The following is a 26,187-nucleotide window of genomic DNA, read 5'->3' as shown; positions in this document are numbered from 1 at the left end:
AAATTATATTCATCTAAAAACCTGTAAACAAATGTTTACAGCAGCTTTATTCATAATAACCAAAAACTGGAAACAACTCATGTCCTCCAGTAGATAAATGGTTAAAAAAACTATGGTACATCCATTCCATGAAATACTAGTCAGCAATAAAAACATATTACTGATGCATACAACAACCTGGATGAAATTCCAGAGTATTATGCTCAGTAAAAGCCAGTCGTAGCCGGGCGTGGTGGCTCCGGTCTGTAATCCCAGCACTTTGGGAGGCCAAGGAAGGCGGATCACCGGAGGTCAGGAGTTCGAGACCATCCTGGGCAGCATAGTGAGACCAGCCTGGCCAACATGGCAAAACCCTGCCTCTACTAAAAATACAAAAATTAGCTGGGCATTGTGGCGCATGCCTGTAATCTCAGCTACTTGGGAGAATCACTTAGAACCCAGGAGACAGAGGTTGCAGTAAGCCGAGATCGAGCCATTCAGCCTGGGCAACAGAGAGACACTCCATCTCAAAAAATAAAAAAATCTAAAAAAAAGCCAGTCCTAAAAGGCTATATTGAATTATTCCACTTACACAACATTCCTTTTTTTTGGGCGGAGGGGGCGGGGTGCACGTGGAGTGGGGGAAGGTGGCTCGTGCCTGTAATCCCAAAACTTCAGGAGGCCAAGGTGGGCAGATCATTTGAGGCCAGAGTTCAAGACCAGCCTACGCAACATGGCAAAACCCAGTCTCTACTAAAAATACAAAAAATTAGCTGGGTTTGGTGGCACATGCCTGTAATCTCAGCTACTCCAGAGGCTGAGAAACAAAAATTGTTTGAATCCAGGAGGTAGAGGTTGCAGTGAGCCAAGATCAAGCCACTGCTCTCCAGCCTAGGTGACAGAGTGAGACTTAGCCTCAAAAAAAACCTAATTTTTTAATTTTGAAAAAAGTATGTAAAATTCAAATGAAACTCCCCTCTCTGTAACCATTAACACAAGAAGCTTCCCCTCCTTTAAAAAAAATTTTTTTTTTAAAGGAGGGGAAGGGGAAAAGGAAAGAAACATAAGAGGAAGAAAGAAAGGGGCAAGGAGGAAGGGGTGAAACAGTAAGAACACAGAAGATTTGATCTGTGCAATAAATATAACTTGACTCCATATCTATAGAACATTGAACCCAATAGCCACAAAACACAATTTACTTTCAAGTGCACATGGAATTATACTAGAAATCAGTAGCAAAAAATGTAATTACACCAGGCACGATGGCTTACACCTATAATGCCAGCACTTTAGGAGGCTGAGGTGGGAGGATCACCTGAGTCCAGGAGTTCGAAACCAGCCTGGGCACCATAGTGAGACCCCCATCTCTACAAAAAATCTTTTAAAAACTTAGGCATGGTGCTGTTCACCTGTGGTCCCAGCTACTCAGGAGGCTGAGATGGGAGGATCACTTCAGCCCAGGAGGTCAAGGCTGCAGTGAGCTCTGATCGCACCACTACATTCCAGCATGAGCAACAAAGCAAAACCTTGTCTCAAAAGTATAAATAAATAATTTTTTTAAATCTATATAATATATATAATTAGAATCCAAATTTCTTGAAAATTAAGAAATATACTCTCCATAAGTCTTTTTCTTATGTTCTTCTTTTTAAATATTTTTTATTTGGTCGGGCCCGGTGGCTTATGCCTGCAATTGCACTTTGGGAGGCCAAGGCGGGTGGATTACTTGAGGTCAGGCATTCGAAACCAGCCTGACCAACACGGTGAAACCTCATCTCTACTACAAATACAAAAATTAGCTGGGCATGGTGGCGCACACCTGTAATCCCAGGTACTCGGGAGGCTGAGGCAGGAGAATCAATTGAAGCCAGGAGGAGGAGGTTGCAGTGAGCCAACATCATGCCACTGCACTCCAGCCTGGGTGACAGGGTAAGACTTCGTCTCAAAAACAAAAAAATAAATAAATAATTTTTTAAATTTTTTCTTATTTTTGTAGAGACAGTGTCTCGCAATGTTGTCCAGGCTGGTCTCAAACTCCTGGACTTGTCCAGGCATGATGGTTCACACCTGTAATCCAGGTTGGTCTGGCATTCGAGACCAGACCTGGACAACATGGCAAAACCCTGTCTCTAATAAAAATACAAAAATTAGCAAAAAAAAAAAAAAAATTAGCCGGGCATGTTGGCAGGCCTGTAATCCCAGCTACTCGGGAGCTGAGGCAGGAGGATCGCTCGAATCCAGCAGGCAGAGAGGTTGCAGTGAGCTGAGATCGAGCCATTGCACTCCAGCCTGGGTGACAAAAGCAAAACTCCGTCTCAAAAAAAAACAAAAAACAAAAAAAAGACTCCTGGCCTCAAATATTCCTCCTGCCTCAGCCTCCCAAAGTGCTGGGATTACAGGTGTGAGCAGCACACTTAGCTAGATTATATTTCTTTATACCAACAACTAGAAAATAAAATTAAATCAAATGATCAGTTCTCAGTTCTTGTCTTTCTAGACCTATCAACAGCACTTAAACAGCTGATCAATCTCTCCCCCAAGAACTGGCTTTCTTCTCCAGAGGACACTGCCACTCTCGAGATTTTCACATCTCTCAACTTGGAAACAATACAGCGTTCCAGAGCTCAGTCCTAGGGCCTGTTCTTTTCCCTCTTTTCCCTCTACAAAAAATTTAAAAATTAGCCAGGCATGGTGGCGTGCCTGTAATTCCAGCGACTCTGGAAGCTTAGGCAGGAGGATCACTTGACTCTAGGAGTTGGAGGCTGCACTGAGCTATGATTGTGCCACTGCACTCCAGCCTCAGTGACAGAGTGAGACCCCATCTCTTAAGAAAAAGAATAAAAAATAAATCCTATCAACATGCTAACAAATTTACATCTTCAGCCAGCAACTCTTCTCTGACTGTAGACCCACATCAAAGTATTCACTGAACATCTCTACTTTGTGTATCTAAAAAACATCTCAGGCTGGGCGCAGTGACTCAGGCCTGTAATCCCAGCACTTTGGGAGGCTGAGGCGGGCAGATTGCCTGAGGTCAAGACCAGCCTGGTCAACATGGCCAAACCCCATCTCTACTAAAAATATAAATTGGCCGGGTGTGGTAGCTCACGCTTGTAATCCCAGCACTTTGGGAGGCCAAGGCAAGTGGATCACAAGGTCAGAAGTTCAAGACCAGCCTGGCCAACACAGTGAAGCCCCGTCTCTACTAAAAATATAAAAATTAGCTGGGCGTGGTAGTGGGCACCTGTAATCCCAGCTACTCGGGAGGCTGAGGCAGGAGAATCGCTTGAACCTAGGAGGCGGAGGTGGCAGTGAGCTGAAATCGCACCACTGCATTCTAGCCTGGGCGACACAGCGAGACTCCATCTCAAAAAAAAAAAAAAAAAGCCAGGCGCTGTGGCTCACACCTGTAACCCCAGCACTTTGGGAGGCCAAGGTGGGCAGATCACCTGAGGTCGGGAGTTCAAGATGAGCCTGACCAATATGGAGAAACCCTGTCTCTACCAAAAATACAAAATTAGCTGGGCATGGTGGCCCAGCTACTCAGGAGGCTGAGGCAGGAGAATCGCTTGAACCCGGGAGGCAGAGGTTACAGTGAGCCAAGATCATGCCACTGCACTCCAGCCTGGCAACAGAGAGAAACTCTGCCTCAAAAAAAAAAAAAAAAATTATATATATATATATACACACACAAAATTTGGCTGGGCGTGGAGGTGCATGCCTGTAATCCCAGCTACTTGCCAGGCTGAGCCGGGAGGATTGCTTGAACCTGGGAGACAGAGGTTGCAGTGAGCTGAGATTGTGCCACTGCACTCCAGTCTAGACAAAAAACCAAGACTCCATCTCGGAGGAAAAAAAAAAAAAATCTCAAACCAGGCATATCTAAAAGTGACCTGATTCTCCTCTGCCACCCTGCCCTATCTATAGTAATTGCAATCTCAGCTAATGGCAATTTCTACTTGTTGAAGCCAAAAACTAAGTCATTTTTGCCTATTCTTTCCGTCACACCTCATCATTCAGCAAATCCTGCCAGTTGTAAATTCAAAATAAGCTGGGTGCGGTGGCTCACGCCTGTAATCCCAGTACTTTGAGAGGCCAAGGCAGGTGGATTACCTGAGGTCAGGGGTTCAAGACCAGCCTGGGCAACATGCCGAAACCCCGTCTCTACTAAAAGTTCAAAAATTAGTTGGGAGTGGTGGCGCATGCCTGTAATCCCAGCTACTCAGGAGGCTGAGGCAGGAGAACCCAGGAGGGGGAGGTTGCAGTGAGCAGAGATCACACCACTGCAACTCCAGCCTGGGTGACAGAGTGAGACCCCGTCTGAATGAATGAATGAATAATAAATCCAAAATACATTTAAAATCATCACCTTCACCACTACCATCTGTATCAAAGGTAGCGTCGTGGATTGGTTTTAAGTGTGGGAGCTCCCAAATTTCTACTTATACCAGCTTTATTAAAATATAATATGTAAACCATAAAATTCACCATTTCAAAAGTGTACAATTCAGTGGTTTCCAGTATATTCAGAGTTGTACAACCATCACCACTAATTCCAGAACATTTCTATTAACTCAAGAAGAAACCCCACCACCCATTAGTAACCATTCCCATTCCTCCCTCTCCTATCCCCTGGCAACCACGAATCTACTTTTGTCTCTATAGGTTTACCTATTCTAGGCATTTATATGAAGAGAATTGTATAATCTAAAACATGGCCTTTTGTGACTGGCTCCTTTCGCTTGGCATGTTTTCCAGGTTCATCCATGTTGTAGCCTGTATTGGTACTTCACCGATACTGCTAGAAAATATTGCATGGTACGGATATAACACATTTTATGTACATATGCATCAAGTGATGGACATTTGGGTTGTTTCTACTTTTTGGCTATGGTGAATAATGTTGCTATGAACATTTGTATAAGAGTTTGCTGTGGACATGTTTTCATATCTCTCAAGTATATATCTAAGAGTGGAATTGCTAGTTCATACGGTAACTCTATGTTTAACCTTTTGAGGAACTGCCAAACGGTTTTCCAAAGCAGCTGCACCAATTTCAGCTTCCACCAGCAATGTGTAAGGGCTCTGATTTCTCTAATCCTCACCAACACTGTTACTGTCAATTGTTTTGTTTTGGGTTTGTTTTTCTTTTTTTCCTTTTGTTTTTTCCTTTTTCTATGTCTGCACCGCCCCCCAACCCCGCTTCATAATACAGAACAGGCACAGGGCGTGGGCTGAAGTATACGGGGTAGGTTTACTCTATCTCCTCTTTCTATACAGTCAGTGTAAGAATACAGCCCGGCCGGGTGCGGTGGCTCACACTTGTAATCCCAGCACTTTGGGAGGCTGAGGCAGGCAGATCACGAGGTCAGGAGATCGAGACCATCCTGGCTAAAACGGTGAAACCCCGTCTCTACTAAAAATACAAAAAATTAGCCGGGCATGCTGGCAGGTGCCTGTAGTCCCAGCTACTCGGGAGGCTGAGGCAGGAGAATGGCGTGAACCCGGGCGGCAGAGCTTGCAGTCAGCCGAGATTGAGCCACTGCACTCCAGCCTGGGGGACAAAGCAAGACTCTGTCTCAAAAAAAAAAAAAAGAATACAGCCTGTGGTTAAGCACCAGGAGGTGTTGGGTTGGTTTGTTTGCTTAGGCTTTTTGGTTGTTTTTTATTTTGGAGACAGAGTCTCACTCTGTTGCACACGCTGGTCTCGAAGTCCTGGGCTCAAGGAACTAACTCTTCCACATAATCCTAGTGGTATCTAGCTGTGGTTTTGATTTGCATTTTCCTAAGGACAAATGTTGTTGACCATCTTTACATGTTCTTATTGGCATTTATATACTTTTTTGAATAAATGTCTGTTTGGATTCTTTTGCCTATTTGTAAATTGGGTTGTTTCTATTATTAAGCTGAACCCAGGATTGTTAGATTATTGAATACAACACCTCTTTAGATTGACATAATGGAAATTTAGACAGCCATTTAAAAAGACTATGTTTTGAATAATTTTTTTTTTTTTTTTTTTTTGAGACAGGGTCTCGCTCTGTCGCCCAGGCTGGAGTGCAGTGGCGCCATCTCGGCTCACTGCAGCCTCCACCTCTTGGGTTCAAGCAATTCCCCTGCCTTAGTCTCCCAGTTTGCTGGGACTACAGGCGCTCGCTACCACACCCAATTTATTTTGTTATTTTTTTTGAGATGGAGTTTCGCTCGTTGCCCAAGCTAGAGTGCAATGGCGCAACCTTGGCTCACTGCAACCTCTGCCTCCCAGATTCAAGCGAGTCTCCTGTCTCAGCCTCCCGAATAGCTGGGATTACAGGCATGCGCCACCACACCCGGCTAATTTTGTATTTTTAGTAGAGATGGGGTTTCTCCATGTTGGTCAGGCTGGTCTCAAACACCTGATCTCAGGTGATCCACCCACCTTGGCCTCTCAAAGTGCTGGGATTACAGGCGTGAGCCACAGCACCCAACCTTATTTTTGTATTTTTTAGTAGCGATGGGGTTTCACCACATTGGCCAGGCTGGTCTCAAACTCCTGACCTCAGGTAATCCACCCGTCTCAGCCTCCCAAAATGCTGGGATTAAAGGCATGAGCCACTGTGCCCAGCCTGATTTGGATAATATTTAACTGTAGTTTTTTGTTTTTGTTTTTTATTTTTGAGACAGTCTCACACTGTCACCCAGGCTGGAGTGCAATGGCACAATCTTGGCTCACTACAACCTCCAGCTCCCGCGTTCAAGCAATCCTCCTGCCTCAGCCTCCCTAGTAGCTGGGATTACAGGCATGCGGCACCACACCCCATTAATTTTTGTATATTTAGTAGAGACAGGGTTTTACCATGTTGGTCAGATTGGTCTTGAACTCCTGACCTCAGGTAATCCGCCCACCTCGGCCTCCCAAAGTGCTGGGATTTCAGGTGTGAGCCACCTCGCCCGGCCTTCACTGTAGTTTTTTAAAAGAGAATGTTAGAAATGAAAGCAAGACACTCAACTAAATATAATCTACCCAGACACACAAAAGGGACTGACTTAAATTAGACTGGAAAAGAAATCTCTGGATAATAGAATCATAGGTGATTTTTTTAATATATTTTTTATATGCTACTTTCGCATTTTCCACATAATCCGTAAGAAATGCATTTTTTCCATAATCAGGAAAAAATCATTATTATAAATTAAAGGTGAATCATGGACTTCCCTCTGTACTTCCTCCAGTTTGCAAGCTATATATCCCTTCCATTCCCTTTTTTTCACTGTGTCTATTTGTATGTAAAAAGATCTAAACATATAGGCAGTTTTAGTGTCCAAATAATGTTTAGTGTATTAAAGAAAATTCTTGCCAGGCGCAGTGGCTCATGCCTGTAATCCCAGCACTTTGGGAGGCTGAGGTGGGCGGATCACGAGATCAGGAGATCGAGACCATCCTGGCTAAAACAGTGAAACCCCATCTCTACTAATAATACAAAAAAAAAAAAAAATTAGCCAGGCGTGGTGGCAGGCGCCTGTAGTCCCAGCTACGTGGGAGGCTGAGGCAGCAGAATGGCGTGAACCCAGGAGGCGGAGCTTGCAGTGAGCCAAGATCACGCCACTGCACTCCAGCCGGGCGAGATTCCATCTCAACAAATAAATAAATAAATAAGAAAATTCTGATGTATAAAAACATATATAGGCCAGGCACGGTGGTTCACGCCTGTAATCCCAGCACTTTGGGAGGCCGAGGCGGGCAGGTCACTAGATCAGGAGATCGAGACCAGCCTGGCCAACATGGTGAAACCCTGTCTTTACTAAAATACAAAAAATTAGCTGGGCGTGGTGGCACGTACCTGTAGTCCCAGACAGAGGCAGGGGAATTGCTTGAACCTAGAAGACAGTGGTTGCAGTGACCGAGATGGTGCCACTGCACTCCAGCCTGGCAACAGAGCAAGACTCCACCTCAAAAAAAAAAAATTATATATATACATATATATGTGTGTGTGTATATATATATATATACAGCTCACACTATCTCCCAATCACCTGTTCTACTTATAATCCAGTTTATCTCAATCCCACATATTCTACTGTAAGTGATGCTCAGGTTTAACTATTTTATCATCTAATCTTACGTATCTTCCTTTTTTCATGAGAGCCTCCTTATTAATACATTAGTTTAAACAACCTTGTATAGCATCTTCATATACATACCTGACCTAAACAGAGATTGTATTTGAAAAGGATATAGAAAATAAGAATGCATAAGTAAAGTTTGATATATTATGGAGAAATGTGAATGGACTGGCTCAAATGAACAATGTAAAAACAAATATATCCCCCCCTCCCATCCTCAAAACAAATAATTATTAACAATACCATGAATATATGCATTTTTCAAATTCTTCTACCTCTATTATATAATTTTAACCTGATGTAAAATCTAATCAATACTTGCTCACTGATTATCATCATAATATTCCAACATGGTAAGCAGAGGTCTTATCAACTCTAGATTTTTGTTTTTGTTTTTGAGACAGTCTCCCTCTGTCACCCAGGCTGAGCTGCAGTGGCATGATCTCAGCTCACCACAGCCTCAACTGCCCATGCTTAAGCAATCCTCCTGCCTCAACCTCCCAAGCAGCAAGGGCTATGGGCACATGTCACTCAGCTAATTTTAATTTTTTGTTTTTCTTTTAATAAGGACATATGTTCACTTAAACAGTTTTTTAAAATTCAGGGTTAACATGAAATCTACAAATAGTAATAGAATGAACAAACATGATCTCTAATAGTGTTATGGCAATGGTCAATACTGACATTATTTGCCTGTGGTTTTCCTACACTGAAAAAAAAAATACTGCCATTAAAGTAGATATACCAATAAACACTTCAAAAAAAAAAAAAAACCATCCAGGGTGGGCACAGTGGCTCACACCTGTAATCCCAGCATTTTGGAAGGCCGAGGAAGGAGGATCATTTGAGCTCAGGAATTCAAGACCATCCTGGGCAACACAGCAAGAGCCTATCTCTAAATAAATAAATAAACAAAAAATACAAAACCTTCCTACTGAAAACCACATCATCAATACAAAAAAAGCACCATTATCAGGACAGGCACAGTGGCTTATGCCTATAATCCCAGCACTTTGGGAGGCCGAGGCAGGAGGATCACTTGAGGTCAGGAGTTCAAGACCAGCCTGGCCAGCACGGTAAAACCCCATCTCTACCAAAAATACAAAAATTAGCCGAGTGTGGTGGTGCACACTTGTAATCCCAACTACTCAGGAGGCTGAGGTTGGAGAATCGCTTGAGATCGCGCCACTGCATTCCAGCCTGGGCAACAGAGTGAGACTCCACTCTAAACAACTAAAAAAATGAAAATAAAAATTAAAAAGCACCATATCATTTTTCAAGATACACAATTTTATTACAGATTTTCTTAAAAAAAACAAAATGCAGTATCCTAAAAATCCCAAACTTTACTATTGATACTAATTCTGAGGCCAAGTGTAGGTGGCTTATCCCTGTAATCCCAGCACTTTGGGAGGCCACAGTGGGCGAACTGCTTGACCCCAGGAGTCTAAGACCAGCCAGGGAAACATTATAAAACCTGTCTCAACAAAAAAATACAAAACAATAAGCTGGGCGTAATGGTGCACACCTGTAGTCCCAGCTACTTGGGAAGCTAAGGTGAGAGGATCAGTTGAGCCAAGGAAATCAAGGCTGCAGTTGAGCCATAAGCATGCCACTGTACTCCAGCCTGGGCGATAAAGCGAGACCCTGACTCAAAGAAAAAAAGTAAAAAAAAAAAAAGGATATTAATTCCAAGTTTGCTATGCCACCATACGCAAGTCAAGAAACTTAAAAAAACCATTAAATATTTAGGAATATTGGGCTAGACACGGTGGCTCACATCTGTAATCCCAGCACTTTGGGTGGCCGAGGCAGGTGCATCACCTAGACCAGGAGTTCAAGACCTGCCTGGCCAACATGGTGAAACCCTGTCTCTACTAAAGATACAAAAAGTAGCCGGCCATGGTGGCACATGACTGTAGTCCCGGCTACTCAGGACACTGAAGCATGAGAATCTCTTGAAACCAGGAGGCTGAAATCCTGCCACTGCATTCCAGCCTGGGCAACACAAGACTGTCTCAAAAAATAATAATAATAAATACACACATACACACACACACACACACACACACACACACACACATTTAGAAATATTCAACATCAGAAGCTTTAAAATCCAATTCAAAAAGGTACAAGCTGCATTTTTTTAAGTATTTTCTCTAAAAAGAACCTTATCAGCTATACAAATATCTGTACAGTTTTTATACTGAAGCTAAAAATATGGAACACTTCACGAATCTGCGTGTCATATCCTTGCACAGAGGCCATGCTCATCTTCTCTGTATCATTCCAATTTTAGGAAATGTGCTGCACTCCATATCATTTTATAAATAAATCTTTTATATGTAGTATATGACAAGGACAATTAAGTTTGAATAATTTACCTCGGTGGAACAATATCCAGAAAATAACAGATCTCTATAACAATCAAAAAAGATATTCTGGCTGAGTGCGGTGGCTCACGCCTATAATCCTAGCACTTTGGGAGGCTGAAGTGGACGGATCACTTGAGGTCAGAAGTTCAAGACTAGCCTGGTCAACATAGTGAAACCCCACCTCTACTAAAAATACAAAAATTAGTCGAGTGTGGTGGCCGGTGCCTGTAATTCCAGCTACTCAGATGGCTGAGGCAGGAGAATCGCTTGAATCCGGGAGGCAGAGGTTGCAGTGAGCCAAGATCGCGCCACTGCACTCTAGCCTGGGTGACAGAGCGAGACTCAGTCTCAAAAAAAAAAAAAAAAGATATTCTGGCCAGACACAGTGGTTCACGCCTGTAATCCCAGCACTTTGGGAGGCCGAGGCAGGCAGATCACTTGAGGTTGGGAGTTCAAGATCAACCTGGGCAACATGGTAAAACCCTGTCTCCACTAAAAATACAAAAAACAGCCAGGCATGGTGGTACACACCTGTAGTCCCAACTACTCAGGAGAATTGCTTGAACCCAGGAGGCAGAGGTTGCAGTGAGCTGAGATTACGCCACTGCACTCCAGCATGGGCAACAGAGCAAGACTCTCTCAAAAACAAAAACAAAAATACACACACACACACACACATATATATTCTACATAATATTCAATATCGACCAACTAGAAATAATAGGCCTAAGAAAACTGATACTAAGAACCAAATATTTAGCTCCTTAAGACCATCAAAAAAGAAACAAACAAAAAAAATCTCTCTATATGTAATATATAGGGAAGTTACAGGACCCAAACATAGCATGTTCCCAAACACGATCAGCAAACAACTTCCTCAGAAAGAGAAGCTACCAAAAACCAGTATCATCAATGTCTTTCCCAAGGATTAAGTTACCTACAAGATGATTTCAAAATACTACTGTGATAAGAAAAAGGTAGATGCTAAAATCTCATGAGATACCAAAAGTATGTCACTAAAAAAGATATTTTTGGGCCGGGTGTGGTGGCTCACACCTGTAATCCCAGCACTTTGGGAGCCCAAGGCGGGCGGACCACAAGGTCAGGAGATTGAGACCATCCTGGCTAACATGGTGAAACCCTGTCTCTACTAAAAATACAAAAAATTAGCCAGGCGTGGTGGCGGGAGCCTGTAGTCCCAGCTACTCGGGAGGCTGAGGCAGGAGAATGGCATGAACCCAGGAGGCGGAGCTTGCAGTGAGCCGAGATGGCGCCACTGCGCCCAGCCTGGGTGACAGAGCAAGACTCAGTCTCAAAAAAAAAAAAGATATTTTTGGGTTTTTTTTGACACAAAGTCTCCCTCTGTCACCTAAGCTAGAGTGCAGTGACAGGATCTGAGCTCAATGCTACCTCTGCCTCCCAGGTTCAAGTGATTTTCCTACCTCAGCCTCCCGAATAGCTGGGACCACAGGTGTGCACCACCACGCCTGGCTAATTTTTGTACTTTTAGTAGAGACAGAGTTTCACCATGATGGCCAGGCTGGCCTCGAACTCTTGACCTCAAGTGATCCTCCTGCCTCAGTGTCTCTAAGTACTGGGATTACAGGCAGGAGCCACCGCACCTGGCCAAAAAATACTTTTTATAGAAAATGTAACCAAATTAAAGTAACCAATCATCTTTAAATATATCTATCAGGGGCAGGCATGATGGCTCACACCTCTAATTCCAGCACTTTGGGAAGCCAAAGGAGGAGGATTGCTTAAGCGCAGGAGTTCAATACAAGCCCGGGCAACATAGGGAGAACACATCTCTGTGAAAAATTTAAAATTAGCTAGGCCTGGTGGTACATGCCTGTAGTCCCAGCTGCTCAGGAGACTGAGGTAGGAGGATTGTTTGGGCCTGAGAGGCCAAGGCTGCAGTAGGCAGTAATCAAAGCACTGCACTCCAGCCTGGGCAACAAAGCAAAACCCTGTCTCAAACAAACAAACAAAAAAAGAAATATGTATCTATCTGTTATAACATCCTAAACACTTAGGAAAACAGTATAAATTATGGCAGAACTCATCCTTTGGAATACTATGCAGTAATAAAAAAAAGTTGGTGGAATATAGAAATAAGATGTGTAGGCCTGGCACAGTGGCTCATGCCTGTAACCCCAGCACTTTGGGAAGCCGAGGCAGGCGAATCATAAGGTCAGGAGTTCCAGACCAGCCTGGCCAATATGGTGAAACCCCATCTCTACTAAAAATACAAAAATTAGCCAGGCATGGTGGCATGCACCTGTAGTCCCAGCTACTGAGGAGGCTGAGGCAGAAGAATCACTTTAACTGGGAGGCAGAGGTTGCAGTGAGCTAAGATCGCGCCACTGCACTCCAGCCTAGGCGACAGAGTGAGACTCCATCTCAAAAAAATAAATAAATAAAAGAAAAGCTGTGTAAAAACTGGATAGACCTCTGAGACATGTTGTTAAATGTTAAAGCCAGTTGCTGAAAAATATATACCTTTAATTCCAAGTGTATTTCTGTATAATACATCAATACTGTCTATAATCCTTAACTACTTATTGCAGTACTAGTCTTGCTTAATTTAGAGTCAGTCGGTATTACTGACTTATTAATTTCCATCTATATGTGTTTATATCTACAACTAATAATGTTTCTTGAGAACATGGATCATGATATATACGCCAAAATGGTACTATGCATAGTACCACACATAAAACAGGTGCACAAATATTTATGGATGGCTAACAATATGTAAAATATGAAGAAGCAAGATTGGCCTATTTTTTATTTATTTACTTTTTTTTTTTTCTTTACAGAGTCTCACTCTGTCGCCCAGGCTGGAGTGCAGTGGCAAGAGCTCAGCTCACTGCAGCCTCTGCCTCCCAGGCTCAAGCAATTCTCATGTCTCAGCCTCCCAAGTAGCTGGGATTATAGGTGCATGCCAACATGTCCCACTAATTTTTGTATTTTTAGTGGAGACGGAGTTTTGCCATGTTAGCCAGGCTGGTCTCAAACTCCTGGCCTCAAGTGATCTGCCTGCCACAGCCTCCCAAAGTGCTGGGATTACAGGCGTGAGGCACCATGCCCAGCCAAGACTGGCCTTTAAGAAGCAGAGAAACGAAAACACTCATTAAATAGAAAAACTAACACCACAATTCAGTTCTTTATGCTTCCTCAGTCAACATGTCTTATACCACGAAAGCTCTTTTGAAAATTCTAGTAACAAAATCTGTGATTATATTTTCCTTCTCATGAGGTGTTTTTTTAGTCCCTCAAATATATAAGTAAAAGCTTAGAAACCTGTGTAGGCCAGGCGTGGTGGCTCACACCTGTTGTCCCAGCACTTTGGGAGGCCGAGGCAGGCGGATCACTTGAGCCAAGGAGTTTGAGACCAGCCTGGGCAACATGACAAAACGCCATCTCTGGGCCAGACACGGTGGCTCACGCCTGTAATTCCAGCACTTTGGGAGGTCAAAGTGGGTGGATCACTTGAGGTCAAGGGTTAAGAGACTAGCCTGACCAATATGTGAAACCCCATCGCTACTAAAAATACAAAAATTAGCTGGGCATGGTGGCACACATCTGTAATCCCAGCTACTTGGGAGGCTGAGGCAGAAGAGTTGCATGAACCCAGGAGACGGAAGTTGCAGTGAGCCAAGATCGTGCCACTGCACTCCAGCCTGAGCAATAGAGCAACACTCCATCTCAAAAAAAAGCAAAAACAAGCAGGGCTCGGTGGCTCACGCCTGTAATCCCAGTACTTTGGGAGGCTGAGGCGGGCGGATCACCTGAGGTTGGGAGTTTGAGACCAGCCTGACCAACATGGAGAAAACTTGTCTCTACTAAAAATAAAAAATTAGCTGGATGTGGTGGCATGCGCCTGTAATCCCAGCTACTTGGGAGGCTGAGGCAGGAGAATCGCTTAAACCTGGGAAGCAGAGGTTGCAGTGAGCTGAGATCATGCCATTGCACTACAGCCTGGGCAACAAGAATGAAACTCCACCTCAAAAAAACAAAACAAAAACAAAAACCATCTCTACCAAAAAATACAAAAATTAGCTGGGTGTGGTGGCATGCACCTGTAGTCCCAGCTACTCGGGAGGCTGAGGTGAGAGAATCGCTTGAGCCTAGCAGTTTGAGGCTGAAGTGAGTCAAGATTGCGCCACTGTACTTCAGCTTAGGTGATACAGCAAGACTCAATTTAAAAAAAAAAAAAAATCTTATGTGTAAAATATTCATACTCTACAACTTTAATAACACTTACTGTCTGTCTAGCATCGATGCTGTCAACATGCTCATTAAGGCCACAGTTGATATATGCAAACTCTACACCTCTTCTTGTTATCCAACATGTCTTCTTACTATGAAAGGAAAGTTATATATTAAAGTCAAATTCACATCAAACTATAATCACAAAAGAAATCAAAGTCAAAAATGTCTATAATATTTATAATATATATGATATTCCAAAAAGAAAGTGACAAAAGAGAAAAGACAAGAAAGACTGCACTTATTGCCACTGGAGGTGACTATTGCACTCTGAAAAAGTCTGTATAAAAGAAAGTAACTAAGCATCTATTCTGCCTTTAAGTAGAACACTAATTCCAGGTAACAAAATAGCCTTAGTTGATGAGAGAAACCTTATCTTTATAGAAGGTGGCTAGCTACTAAATGTATAAGGAACAACAGAACCCAAAACTAATTACCATTTTTTAACCAATAATTAAATAGCTAATCAAGAATCATCAATGAATGCTAAAATCATTAGGTGAAAAGTTGGTAAAGAAATTGACCTGGCCAGGTGCGGTGGCTCACACCTGTAATCCCAACACTTTGGAGGCCAAGGTGGGTGGATTACTTGAGGTCAGGAGTTTGAGACCAGCCTGGCCAACATGGTGAGACCCCGTCTCTGCTAAAAATAAAAATTAGCTGGGCATGGTGGTGCACACCTGTAATCCCAGCTACTCAGGAGGGAGGCTGAGACAGGAGAATCACCTGGGAGGCAGAGATTGCAGTGAGCCGAGATGGCACCATTGCAGTCCAGCGTGGGCAACAGAGAGAGGCTCTGTCCCAAAAAAAAAAAAAAGTCCCACAAAAATAAAAGAAAGAAATTTATCTGGGGCCGGGAGTGGTAGCTCACGAGTGTAGTCCTATTACTTTGGGAGGCCTGGGGGGGTACAGGGAGGGATTGCCTGAGCTCAGGAGTTGGAGACCAGCCAGGGCAACGTGATGAAACCTCATCTCTACTAAAATTACAAAAATTAGCCAGGTGGGCCGAGCGCGGTGGCTCACGCCTGTAATCCCAGCACGTTGGGAGGCCGAGGTGGGTGGATCACGAGGTCAGGAGATCAAGACCATCCTGGCAAACATGGCGAAACCCCATCTCTACTAAAAATACAAAAATTAGCTGGGCATGGTGGCACGTGCCTATAATCCCAGCTACTCAGGAGGCTGAGGCAGGAGAATTGCTTGAACCAGGGAGTCGAAGGTTGCAGTGAGCCAAGATCACGCCACTGAACTCCAGCCTGGCGACAAAGTGAGACTCCATATCAAAAAAAAAAAAAAAAAAAAAATTAGCCAGGCATAGTGGCACACGCCTGTAGTCTCAGCTTACTCAGGAGGCTGACGCACAAGAATCACTTGAACCCGGAAGGCGGAGATTGCAGTGAGCTGAGATTGTGCCACCGCACTCCAGCTTGGGTGACAGAAGGAGACTCCATCTCAAAAAAGAAAAAAAAAATTAGCCAGGCATAGTGGCAAATGCTTGTAGTCCCAGCTTACTCAGGAGGCTGACGCATGAGAATCGCTTGAACCCGGGAGGCAGAGGTTGCAGTGAGCTGAGATTGTGCCACTGCACTCCAGCCTGGGTGACAGAGTGAGTCTCTGTCTCCAAAAAGTCAAAAAATAAAATAAAATAAAATAAAAATGTTTTTTAAAAAAAGAAATTTGAGGCCGGGGGCAGTGGCTCACACCTATAATCCCAGCACTTTGGGAGGCCAAGGCAGGAGGATCACCTGAGGTCAGGAGTTCAAGACCAGCCTGGCCAATATGGCGAAACTTCGTCTCTACTAAAAATACATAATTAGCTGGGCGTGGTGGCGAGAGCCTGTAGTCCCAGCTACTCGGGAGGCTGAGGCAGGAGAATCACCTGAACCCAAGAGACAGAGGTTGCAGTGAGCCGAGATCGCACCATTGCACTCCAGCCTGGGCAACAAGAGCAAAACTCCGTCTCAAAAAAATAAAAAATAAAAAATTTACCTGATGTCAAAGTACCACCCTATAGATTACTACTTGCTAGAAGCAAAAAGAAAACCATAACTTTATAATGAAATGATCAGGTTCTCACCACATTAGCTTGGTGATCAAATACAGCATCAAAATAGTGGGACCTGACATTATATGCCTCTTAACTAGAAACAGTAGGAAGTACACAGCATTACTAAATGAGATACTCTTCCAAAACTGTTTAACCTAAGTCTACTCACACCTTTAGATCTAACTCCCAGTTTACAGGAAATAAATATAGGGGATAGAGGAAGAAGTAATACTACACCATGAGGAAACAAGCAGCAATACAAAATGTAATCGTCTCAACAGACCTAACAGGTCAATACCACAGGGAAGGAGAGGCAGAGTAGGGAAGGAGAGGCAGAGTAGAGAAGGAGGTGGATGGGTAGAAGAGACAGTTCTACCTATATATTTAAAAAGACTCAAGATTACAACCCAAATGCAACGGGTAGTTCTTGACTGAAATCTGGCATTTAAAAAAAAAACACCAGCCTGGCCAACATGGTGAAACCCCGTCTCCACTAAAAATACAAAAATTAGCCAGGCATGGTGGCGGACACCTGTAATCCCAGCTATTTAGGAGGCTGAGGCAAGAGAACTGCATGAACTCAGGAGAAGGAGGTTGCAGTGAGCGAAGATCACGCCACTGCACTCCAGCCTGGGTGATAGAGCAAGACTTCCTCTCAAAAAAAAAAAGAAGAAAAAAAAACACCACACAGCAATCAAAAACATTTTTGGAACAACTCAGGAAATCTGAATATAGTATAAGTAGCATGTATCAGGGAATCAGGTCACATGCCTGTAATCCCAGCACTTTGCGAGGCCAAGGCAGGAGGATCACTTGAGACTACAAGTTTAAGACCAGCCTGGGCAACATGGCAAGACCACATCTCTACAAAAAATACAAAAATTAGCCAGTCATGGTGGTATGTGCCTGTAGCCCCCAGCCACTCCAGGAGGCTGAGGCAGGAGAATGGCTTGAGCCTGGGAGGTCAAGGCTGCAGTAAGCCATGAATGTGCTGCTGTACTCTAGTCTGGGCAACAGAGCAAGACCCTGTCTCAAAAAAAAATCAAAAAGTAGTATAATACTAGGGAATTACTGGTAATTTTGCTAGAAATGATAATGGTTTTATGGCTATATAGGGAGAATGTCCTCCTTTTCCTTGGCGAGATCTGAAGATATACGTCTTCTTATATAATCTTTTAAAAGAGCAAATATCAATCTAAATCTTTAAATGTCAAAGTCCAAAATACATACATTTATAATACAATCATATGATACTTAAAAGGGAAAACTGAAAAAAACTTATTTGCCCCTCTTAGTTTACTTTTAAATGGTTCAGGAAATTTATATATGTAGATAAAACAAATATGGCAAAATGGTAACAATTGTTGAATCAAGCAGGTGGGTACCTGTGGTTTCAATGTATCATACTACTTTTCTATATCTCTATTTTCCTAATGAAAGTTTTTAAAATGTACCATGCTTCAAGCAAACTAGTTTGCTTCTAAGATGTTTGAAAAGATAAAACCATATTTAATCCACTAAAAGAATACCTCTACAAAGCAAAGAAAGAGTTTTTGGGGGTTGTGTTTGTTTTTTGTTTTTTTAAGAGACAGGGTCTCACTCTGCCACCCAGGCTGGAGTGCAGTGGTACAACACTACAGCTTTGAACTCCTGGGCTCAAGCAATACTCCTGCATCAGCTTCCCAAAGCTGGGACCACATGCATGCACCATTCCACCTGGCTTATTTTTTGTTGTTGCTTCTTTTATTTTGTTTTGTAGAGACAGGGTCTCGCTTTGCTGCCCACACTGGTCTCCAACTCCTGGCTTCAAGCAATCCTCTCCCCTCAGCCTCCCACAGTGCTGGGAATACAGGAATGGGCAACTGTGCCTGGCCAAAATCCTTTTTTAATTCAAATATCAACTCTTAACATGAAACATGTAATTCAAAAATGCCAAGTTTTTATAAAGCAGGGCACACTCCATATTTCAAAGGTTATGTATAGGTTATCTGTCCTTACATGTCGAGAAGAAAAAAGAAAAATTCAACCACGCTGTAAGTGAGTTTAAAATGAAAGGAAGGGAAAAAAATGAAAGGGAATTTTTTTTTAAAACAGTCTCACTCTTTCGTGCAGTGGTGCAATCTTGGCTCCACCTCCCAGGTTCAAGTGATTCTCCTGCCTCAGCCTCCGAGTAGCTGGGATTACAGGCAAGAACAACTAAGCCCAGCTAATTTTTGCATTTTTTTGTAGAAACGGAGTTTCACCATGTTGGCCAGGCTGGTCTTGAACTCCTGACCTCAAGTGATGTGCCCGCCTCGGCCTCCCAAAGGGCTGGCATTACAGGCATGAGTCACTGTGCCCGGCTGGGAATTTTTTTGTTGTTTTTTGTTTTTGTTTGTTTTTGAGATGGAGTCTCGCTCTGTCACTCAGTGGAGTGCAGTGGCGCGATCCCGGCTCACTGCAACATCTGCCTCCCAGGTTCAAGCGATTCTCCTGCCTCAGCCTCCCGAGGAGCTAGGATTACAGGCGCCCGCCACCATGCCCGGCTAATTTTTGTATTTTTAGTAGAGACAGGGGTTTCACCATGTTGGCCAGGCTGGTCTTGAACCCCTGACCTCAAGTGATCCACCTGCCTCGGTCTCCCAAAGTGCTGAGATTACAGGCGTGAGCCACTGTGCCCAGCCTGGGAATTTTTTAAAGGATAAAAATTATGAGAAGGATCCCAAATAGTTAAAACAAACTTGAGAAAGAAAAACAAAACTGGAGGCCTCATACTTCCTATTTCAAAACACCTTACATTACAGAGCTACAGTAATCAACACAGTATGGTAGGGCTTAAAGATAGACATAAGACTAATGGAATGGAATAGAAAGCCCAGAAATAAATACTCACATATGTGATCAAATGATCTTCAACAAGGGTACCAAGGCCACACAATGGGAAAAGGAGAGTCTCTTCAACAAATGATATAGGAAAAACTGGGTACCCACATGCAAAAGAATGAAGCTAGAATCTTATGTTACATTGAATACAAAAGGTAACTCAAAATGGACTAAAGACCTAAATCTAAGACCTTAAACTTAAAACTCGTAGAAGAAAACGGGGAGAAAGCTTCATGACATCGGATTTGGCAATGATTTCTTGAAGACGACACCAAAGGCATAGGCAACAAAAGCAAAAATAGACAAAATGGACATCAAACTTAAAGAATTCTGTGTCACAAAGGAAACAATCAACAGAATAATAAGGCAACCTACGGAATGAGAGAAAATATTTGCAAACCATACATCTGATAAGTTGGTAATATCTAGAATACATAAAGAACTCCTACAACTCAACAAACAAAATCCAAATAACCCAATTTAAAAGTGGGCAAAGGACTTGCACAAATGTTTCTCCAAAGAAGATATACACATGGCCAACAAGTATATGAAAAGATACTTATCACTAATCAGAGAAATACAAATTAAAACCACAATGAGATAGATATCACCTTACACCTATTGAGATGGCCACTATCAACAAATGAGTTAAAAAACAGGCCAGGTGCAGTGGCTCATGCCTGTAATCCCAGCACTTTAGGAAGTCAAGGCAGGTGGATTACCTGAGGTCAGGGGTTCAAGACCAGCCTGGCCAACATGGTAAAACGCCATCTCTACTAAAACTACAAGAATTAGCCTGTAGTCTCAGCTACTCGGGAGGCTGAGACAGGAGAATCACTTGAACCTGGGACGCAGAGGTTACAGTGAGCCAACATCATGCCACTGTACTCCACCCTGGGTGACGGAGTGAGACTCTGTCTCAAAAAATAAAAAAATAAAAAATAAAAATGTTGGTGAAGATGTAGAGAAACTGGAACCCTTGTGTACTACTGGTAGGAACGTACAATGGCTCAGCTACTAAGCAAAGGGTATGGCAGTTCCTCAAAAAATTAAAAACAGAATTATCATATGATCCAGCAATTCCACTTCAGGGTACATATCCAAAATAATTAATAACAGGATCTCCAAGAGATACTTGCACATGCATGTTTATCACAGCGTTATTCACAATAGTCAAGAGGTGGAAGCAACCTAAATGTCCATCAACAAGTGAATGGATAAAAAAAAAAATGTGGTACATACATACAATGGAATATTATTCAGCCTTAAAAAAAAAAAAAAGGAGGCCAGGCACAGTAGCTCATGCATGTAATCCCAGCATTTTGGAAGGCCAAGGCTAACTAACTGATCACTTGAGCCCAGGAGTTCAAGATCAGCCCGGGCAACATGGCAAAACCTCATGTCTACAAAAATTATCTAGGTGTGGTGGTGCACACCTGTGGTTCCAGCTACTCAGAAGGCTGAGGTGGGAGGATGGCTTGAGTCTGGGGAGGTCAAGGCTGCAGTGAGCCATGATCACACCACTGCACTCCAGCCTGGGTGACAGAGCAAGACCCTGTCTCAAAAAAAAAAAAAAAAAAAAAGGAAATTAGGTCATATGCTGCAACATGGAAGAATCTTGAGGACATTATGCTAAGTGAAATAAGCCAGTCACCCCAAAAACAGCAATAACAATGACAAAAAGCTGCATGTTTCTACTTATATGCGGTATCTACAAGTAGTCAAACTCTAGACACAGAAAGTAGAATCGTGGTTGCCAATGGCTAGGAAGGAGAAAATGGGTTCACTGGGTACAGAGTTTCAGTTTGGCAAGATGAAAAAAACTGCACAACAATGTGCATAGTTAACACTACTGTTCTGTACTCTTAAAAGTGGTTAAGATAGTAAATACGTTGTACTTTTTTCCCCAACTAAAAAAACTATGAGTAGCTTAACTACAAAGAAAAAAACTGAGACAAGGTGATTTAGCAGAGAAAGAGAATGTTCACTCAAGAGAGATAGACTCAAAAACAGACCAGGGCTAGGCACGGTGGCTCACACCTGTAATCCCAGCACTTTGGGAGGCCAAGGCAGGTGGATCACTTGAGGTCAGGAGTTCAAGACCAGCCTGGCCAACATAGTGTAACCTCATCTCTAATAAAAAATACAAAAATTAGCTGTGTGTGGTGGCACATGCCTGTAGTCCCAGGTACTTGGGAGACTGAGGCAAGAGAATTGCTTGAACCTGGGAGGCAGAGGCTGCAATGAGCCGAGATCATGCCACTGCACTTCAGCCTGAGCAACAAAGTGAGACACTGTCTCAAAAAAAAAAAAAAAAGGGAAAATCACAAATAGAAATCCTGAGAAATGAACTAAATTTAATTACAACTACATAATCAATAATTAACTCTGGGTCCCCTGAAAAAAATGGGCCGGGCACGGTGGCTCACACCTGTAATCCCAACACACTGGGAGGCTGAGGCAGGTGGATCACAAGGTCAAGGGATTGACACCATCCTGGCCAACACGGTGAAACCCCATCTCTACTAAAAATACAAAAATTAGCTGGGTGTGGTGGCGTGTGCCTGTAGTCCCAGCTACTCAGGAGACTGAGGCAGGAGAATCGCTTGAACCCAGGAGGCAGAGGTTGCAGTGAGCCGAGATCACGCCACTGCACTCCAGCCTGTCGACAGATCTAGACTCCATCTCAAGAAAAAAAAAAATGCTTTACTGGATCTTTATAGGTCCAGAAACTATGTGCAAAATACTCTACTAGATACTTGTACTCCCCAGTAACTGCGCATGTATCATATCCATGCCCCCGGTCAACCACTTCTTACCTCCCAAACACTGCCAAAAAAGCCTCCATCTGCTCCTACCTGACCTTAAAAATGCTAAAAAATTCAAATCCCTGCATTGGAAGAACTGTCTAAAAATTTTATTTTCTCTGTGCACACAGAATTGATAATGATCAGACTAACAAAACTCCTATTATTTCCTATACGGTTTCAGTTTCTTAAAATGAAAGTAGTTTATATTTGTTGTTTCAACTTTTTTCTGTTGACTCCTTGACCCAATACAATCCACCCTCCCATCCCAAGCAGCATTTACTGGTTTTTTTCTGTCTGGCCCTTCTTGGTCTCTGTCATGGACTTTCTGCCTTCTGCTCACTTTTTTCAGTGTCATTGCTCGCTAAGGTTCTGTTCCTAATCTTTTGTTCGATTTACCTCTTCTAGGTCCATTCAAACCCATGGCTTCAATGCCTGTGTGACTCCAGTCAATAATTTTCTCCCAAACCCCAATATAGTTAATTGTTTGACAGACATATCCACTTGAATATTCCATGGGCACTTCAAACCTGAGAGGTCCAGCTTAAATTTCCTTCAATGACTCTCTATAGCTTTCAAGATCAAGTTCCAACTCTGTGATAAAGCACTCAAGGACTTCTATGACGTGATCCCTTATCTACCTTTGGCCTCCTCTTCTTCCACTCTAATCCACCTGTACCTAGTTATTTGTTTCCCACACAAGGTAGCCCATTTCACAGCTCTGTGCCTTATACATTCTCTGCCTGAAAGTCCCTCTAACCCCAGCCGGGCACAGTGGCTCACGCTTGTAATCCCAACACTTTGGGAGGCTGAGGTGGGCAGATCAGGAGGTCAGGAGTTCGAGACCAGTCTGGGCAACATGGTAAAACCCCATCTCTACTAAAAATACAAAACTTAGCGAGTGTGGTGGTGCATACCTGTAATCCTCCTGAGTACAGGAGGCTGAGGCAGGAGAATCGCTTGAACCTGGGAGGCGGAGGTTGCAGTGAGCCGAGATCACACCACTGCACTCCAGCCTGGGCAACAGAGCAAGACTCCATCTCTACCCCATCACACCCAACCCATATTTATTGGTTCAATTTACTTTTCTTTAGGAAAGTTTCCCACTATCTCAAAGCATGATTTAGCCACAGCTCCCAATGCACCCTAGACATCTATCTTAGCACCTTTGTATTTACTTGTTGAGACTACTAGTCTGTAAGCATCTTGCAGATAAGTGTTTTATTTAGCAAACAAGAGCTCAATAAATACTTGTTATTGCCGGGCGCGGTGGCTCACGCCTGTAACCCCAGCACTTTGGGAGGCCGAGGCAGGCGGATCACAAGGTCGGGAGTTTGAGACCAGCCTGACCAACATGGCAAAACCCCGTCTCTACTAAAAATACAAAAATTAGCCAGGCGTGGTGGTGCGCGCTTACAGTCCCAGCTACTCAGGAGGCTGAGGCAGGAGAATCACTTGAACCCAAGAGGCAGAGGTTGCAGTGAGTCAAGATCACACCATTGCACTCCAGCCTGGACAACAGAGCGAGACTCTGTCTCAAATAAATCAATCAATAAATAAGTACTTGTTATAAGCTAGCATAAGCCAAAAGGCCAACTTCTTTAAAATGTTGGACTTACCATTTTCGTACCTGGAATACACAGGTCCATAGTACAGGGCATCTCTTTACCACAAATAAAGTACCAATGAAAATAAATTCATAATCAGAAAGGTGGTTAAGAATTACAGTGGATGAGGCCAGGCATAGTGGTTCACATGTGGTCCCAGCACCTTGGGAGGCTGAAGCAGGAGGATCACTTGAGCTCAGGAGTTCGAGACCAGCCTAGGCAACATAGTGAGACCCCCCCCTGCCGCCCCACCAATCTCTCTAAATAAATAAATAAAATTGGCCAGCACGGTGGCTCACACCTGTAATCCCAGCACTTTGGGAGGCTGATGCAGGAGGATCATCTGAGGTCAGGAGTTCAAGACCAACCTGGCCAACATGGTGAAACCCTGTCTCTACTAAAAAGACAAAAAATTAGCTAGGTGTGGTGATGCACACCTGTAATCCCAGCTACTCGGGAGGCTGAGACAGGAGAATCGCTTGAACACGGGAGGTGGAGGTTGTAGTAAGCCGAGATCACACCATTGCACTCCAGCCTGGGCAACAAGAGCAAAACTCCGTCTCAAAAAAATTAATTAATTAATTAATTTAATTAAAAATAAATAAATCAATAAAACGATAAAGAATTAAAGTGGATATTCTTTATGTCTGCCCAGAACTCCGTCCTCTCCCCTACTCAAGGTCTGCTCTGCTTTTTGCTAACAGATCCCTGGCCATGTAAGTGAGCATATCACAACCTAGAATGAACTAAGCATAGTACTTCATCCCTTCAAACACTAGATTTGGTCAAGGTTCTAGTTGATACCCCTGTGCTGCCATGAAACAGGTTTACCATGTGAAGAAACATATTTTCAGTAAAAGGAATAAAGCCAGTATGCACAGAGTATAAGTACGGAAAGGTCCCAACTATGGGAAAGTTCCCACCCTAGCTCTTCATGGCCATCCTTATTCATACAATGCCTATTATATGGTCATATGAACCAATAACTTTTTCCCCTACAGGCTACTTCAAGCTGTATTTCTGTTACTTGAACACCAAAAAGTCCTAACTAATAAAATAGAGAAACCAAATTGATAAAAATTAGACATCAAAGGATTTTTTCATTCAGGCTATAAAAGGGCCTGGTATGCCTTCTCTGGCTTAGAAAACTTTCATCTATCAAATATAATGTCCCTTTCCTCTCTGTATTAGATAAACCCCAAAATTACTATTTCATTCTCTTTCAATACACTCTATGCAAATCACATCATTTTTTAAGACAGTCCATTTACCGCTATGTGGTGAGATGACAAATAAGCAAGCAATCACAATGTAATAAAAGAACATGGAGTGCTAAGGACACAAAGAGGAGGCCCATGTAACTCAGACTTGAAGTATCCGAGGGCTTTCTCCTAGAGCTACCACCTAGGCTGAGACCTGAAAGACAAGCCTGAGTTAATAAAACAAAAGTGAGGGTAAGGAACAAACTAGGAAAGGTATTCCAGACAGATAGAAGCTTCTGAACTCAAGTGCAGATTTAAGAACTCTGACCCCTTCAGGGAGAAATACAAGGAACTTAATAGGGCTAGCACACTGACAGCCAAGTGTCAATAAGGATCCAAATCATGAGGATCCTGAAAGCCAAGTGAAGAAGTTCAGAAGTCTCAAAAAAAAAAAAAAAAGAAGTTCAGAAGTTATCCTAAAGGCCATGAAAAGTCACAAAAAAGTTTTAAGCAGAGGAGTAATGTGTTAGACAGATTACTCTAGCTACAGTGGGAAAAATGCATTGGAAGACTGAAAGCAGGGATGAGCTGTTAGGAGGCTCGTGCAACAACCCAGGTGAGACATGATACTAACCATGGAGTAGGAGGGCAGCAGCGAGGATAGGGAAAAGGAACAGATTCAAGAGATATTAAAGAGAGGAGGATCACGAAGTCAGGAGATCGAGACTATCCTGGCTAACACGGTGAAACCCCATCTCTATTAAAAATACAAAAAATTAGCCGGGCGTGGTGGTGGGCACCTGTAGTCCCGGCTACTCAGGAGACTGAGGCAGGAGAATCGCTTGAACCCAGGAGGCGGAGATTGCAGCAAGCCAAGATCGCACCACTGCACTCCCACCTAGGTGACAGAGCGAGACTCCGTCTCAAGAA

At 43.2% G+C, this 26,187-nt stretch overlaps 1 protein-coding gene and 2 pseudogenes across 10 annotated transcripts in view, besides 2 other annotated features; all 3 read right to left on the bottom strand.

Annotated features, from left to right (window-relative positions):
• N4BP2 (NEDD4 binding protein 2) overlaps positions 1-26,187 on the bottom strand; it is a 133,621-nt gene that overhangs the window by 102,192 nt on the left and 5,242 nt on the right. For 4 of the 10 annotated variants that reach the window (NM_001318359.2, NM_018177.6, XM_047415954.1 and 1 more), the window contains one exon: positions 14,728-14,824. The exons of 3 other annotated variants lie outside the window; for them this stretch is intronic. The gene's annotated coding sequence lies outside the window, so the exon portion shown is untranslated. Of the gene's footprint in view, positions 1-7,799; positions 7,819-14,727; positions 14,825-26,187 lie in introns of those variants that run through there. 3 more of the 10 variants (XM_047415957.1, XM_047415956.1, XM_017008398.1) reach the window with 3 other exon arrangements.
• On the bottom strand, positions 5,173-5,296 carry LOC124900183 (uncharacterized; annotated as a pseudogene).
• RNU6-1112P (RNA, U6 small nuclear 1112, pseudogene) lies at positions 10,297-10,395 on the bottom strand (annotated as a pseudogene).
• Positions 18,723-19,222: an enhancer, noted in NCBI's record as "H3K4me1 hESC enhancer chr4:40070677-40071176 (GRCh37/hg19 assembly coordinates)". NCBI's record gives its function as "activates a minimal SCP1, AML or CMV promoter by ChIP-STARR-seq in primed H9 embryonic stem cells {active_cell/tissue: H9 hESC(primed)}" and the evidence as "EXISTENCE:reporter gene assay evidence [ECO:0000049][PMID:30033119]".
• Positions 19,223-19,724: an enhancer, noted in NCBI's record as "H3K4me1 hESC enhancer chr4:40070175-40070676 (GRCh37/hg19 assembly coordinates)". NCBI's record gives its function as "activates a minimal SCP1, AML or CMV promoter by ChIP-STARR-seq in primed H9 embryonic stem cells {active_cell/tissue: H9 hESC(primed)}" and the evidence as "EXISTENCE:reporter gene assay evidence [ECO:0000049][PMID:30033119]".

The sequence above is a fragment of the Homo sapiens genome, chromosome 4, assembly GCF_000001405.40.
Source record: "Homo sapiens chromosome 4, GRCh38.p14 Primary Assembly".
Lineage (NCBI taxonomy): Eukaryota > Metazoa > Chordata > Mammalia > Primates > Hominidae > Homo > Homo sapiens.
This window is presented reverse-complemented; position numbering and strand designations above follow the sequence as displayed.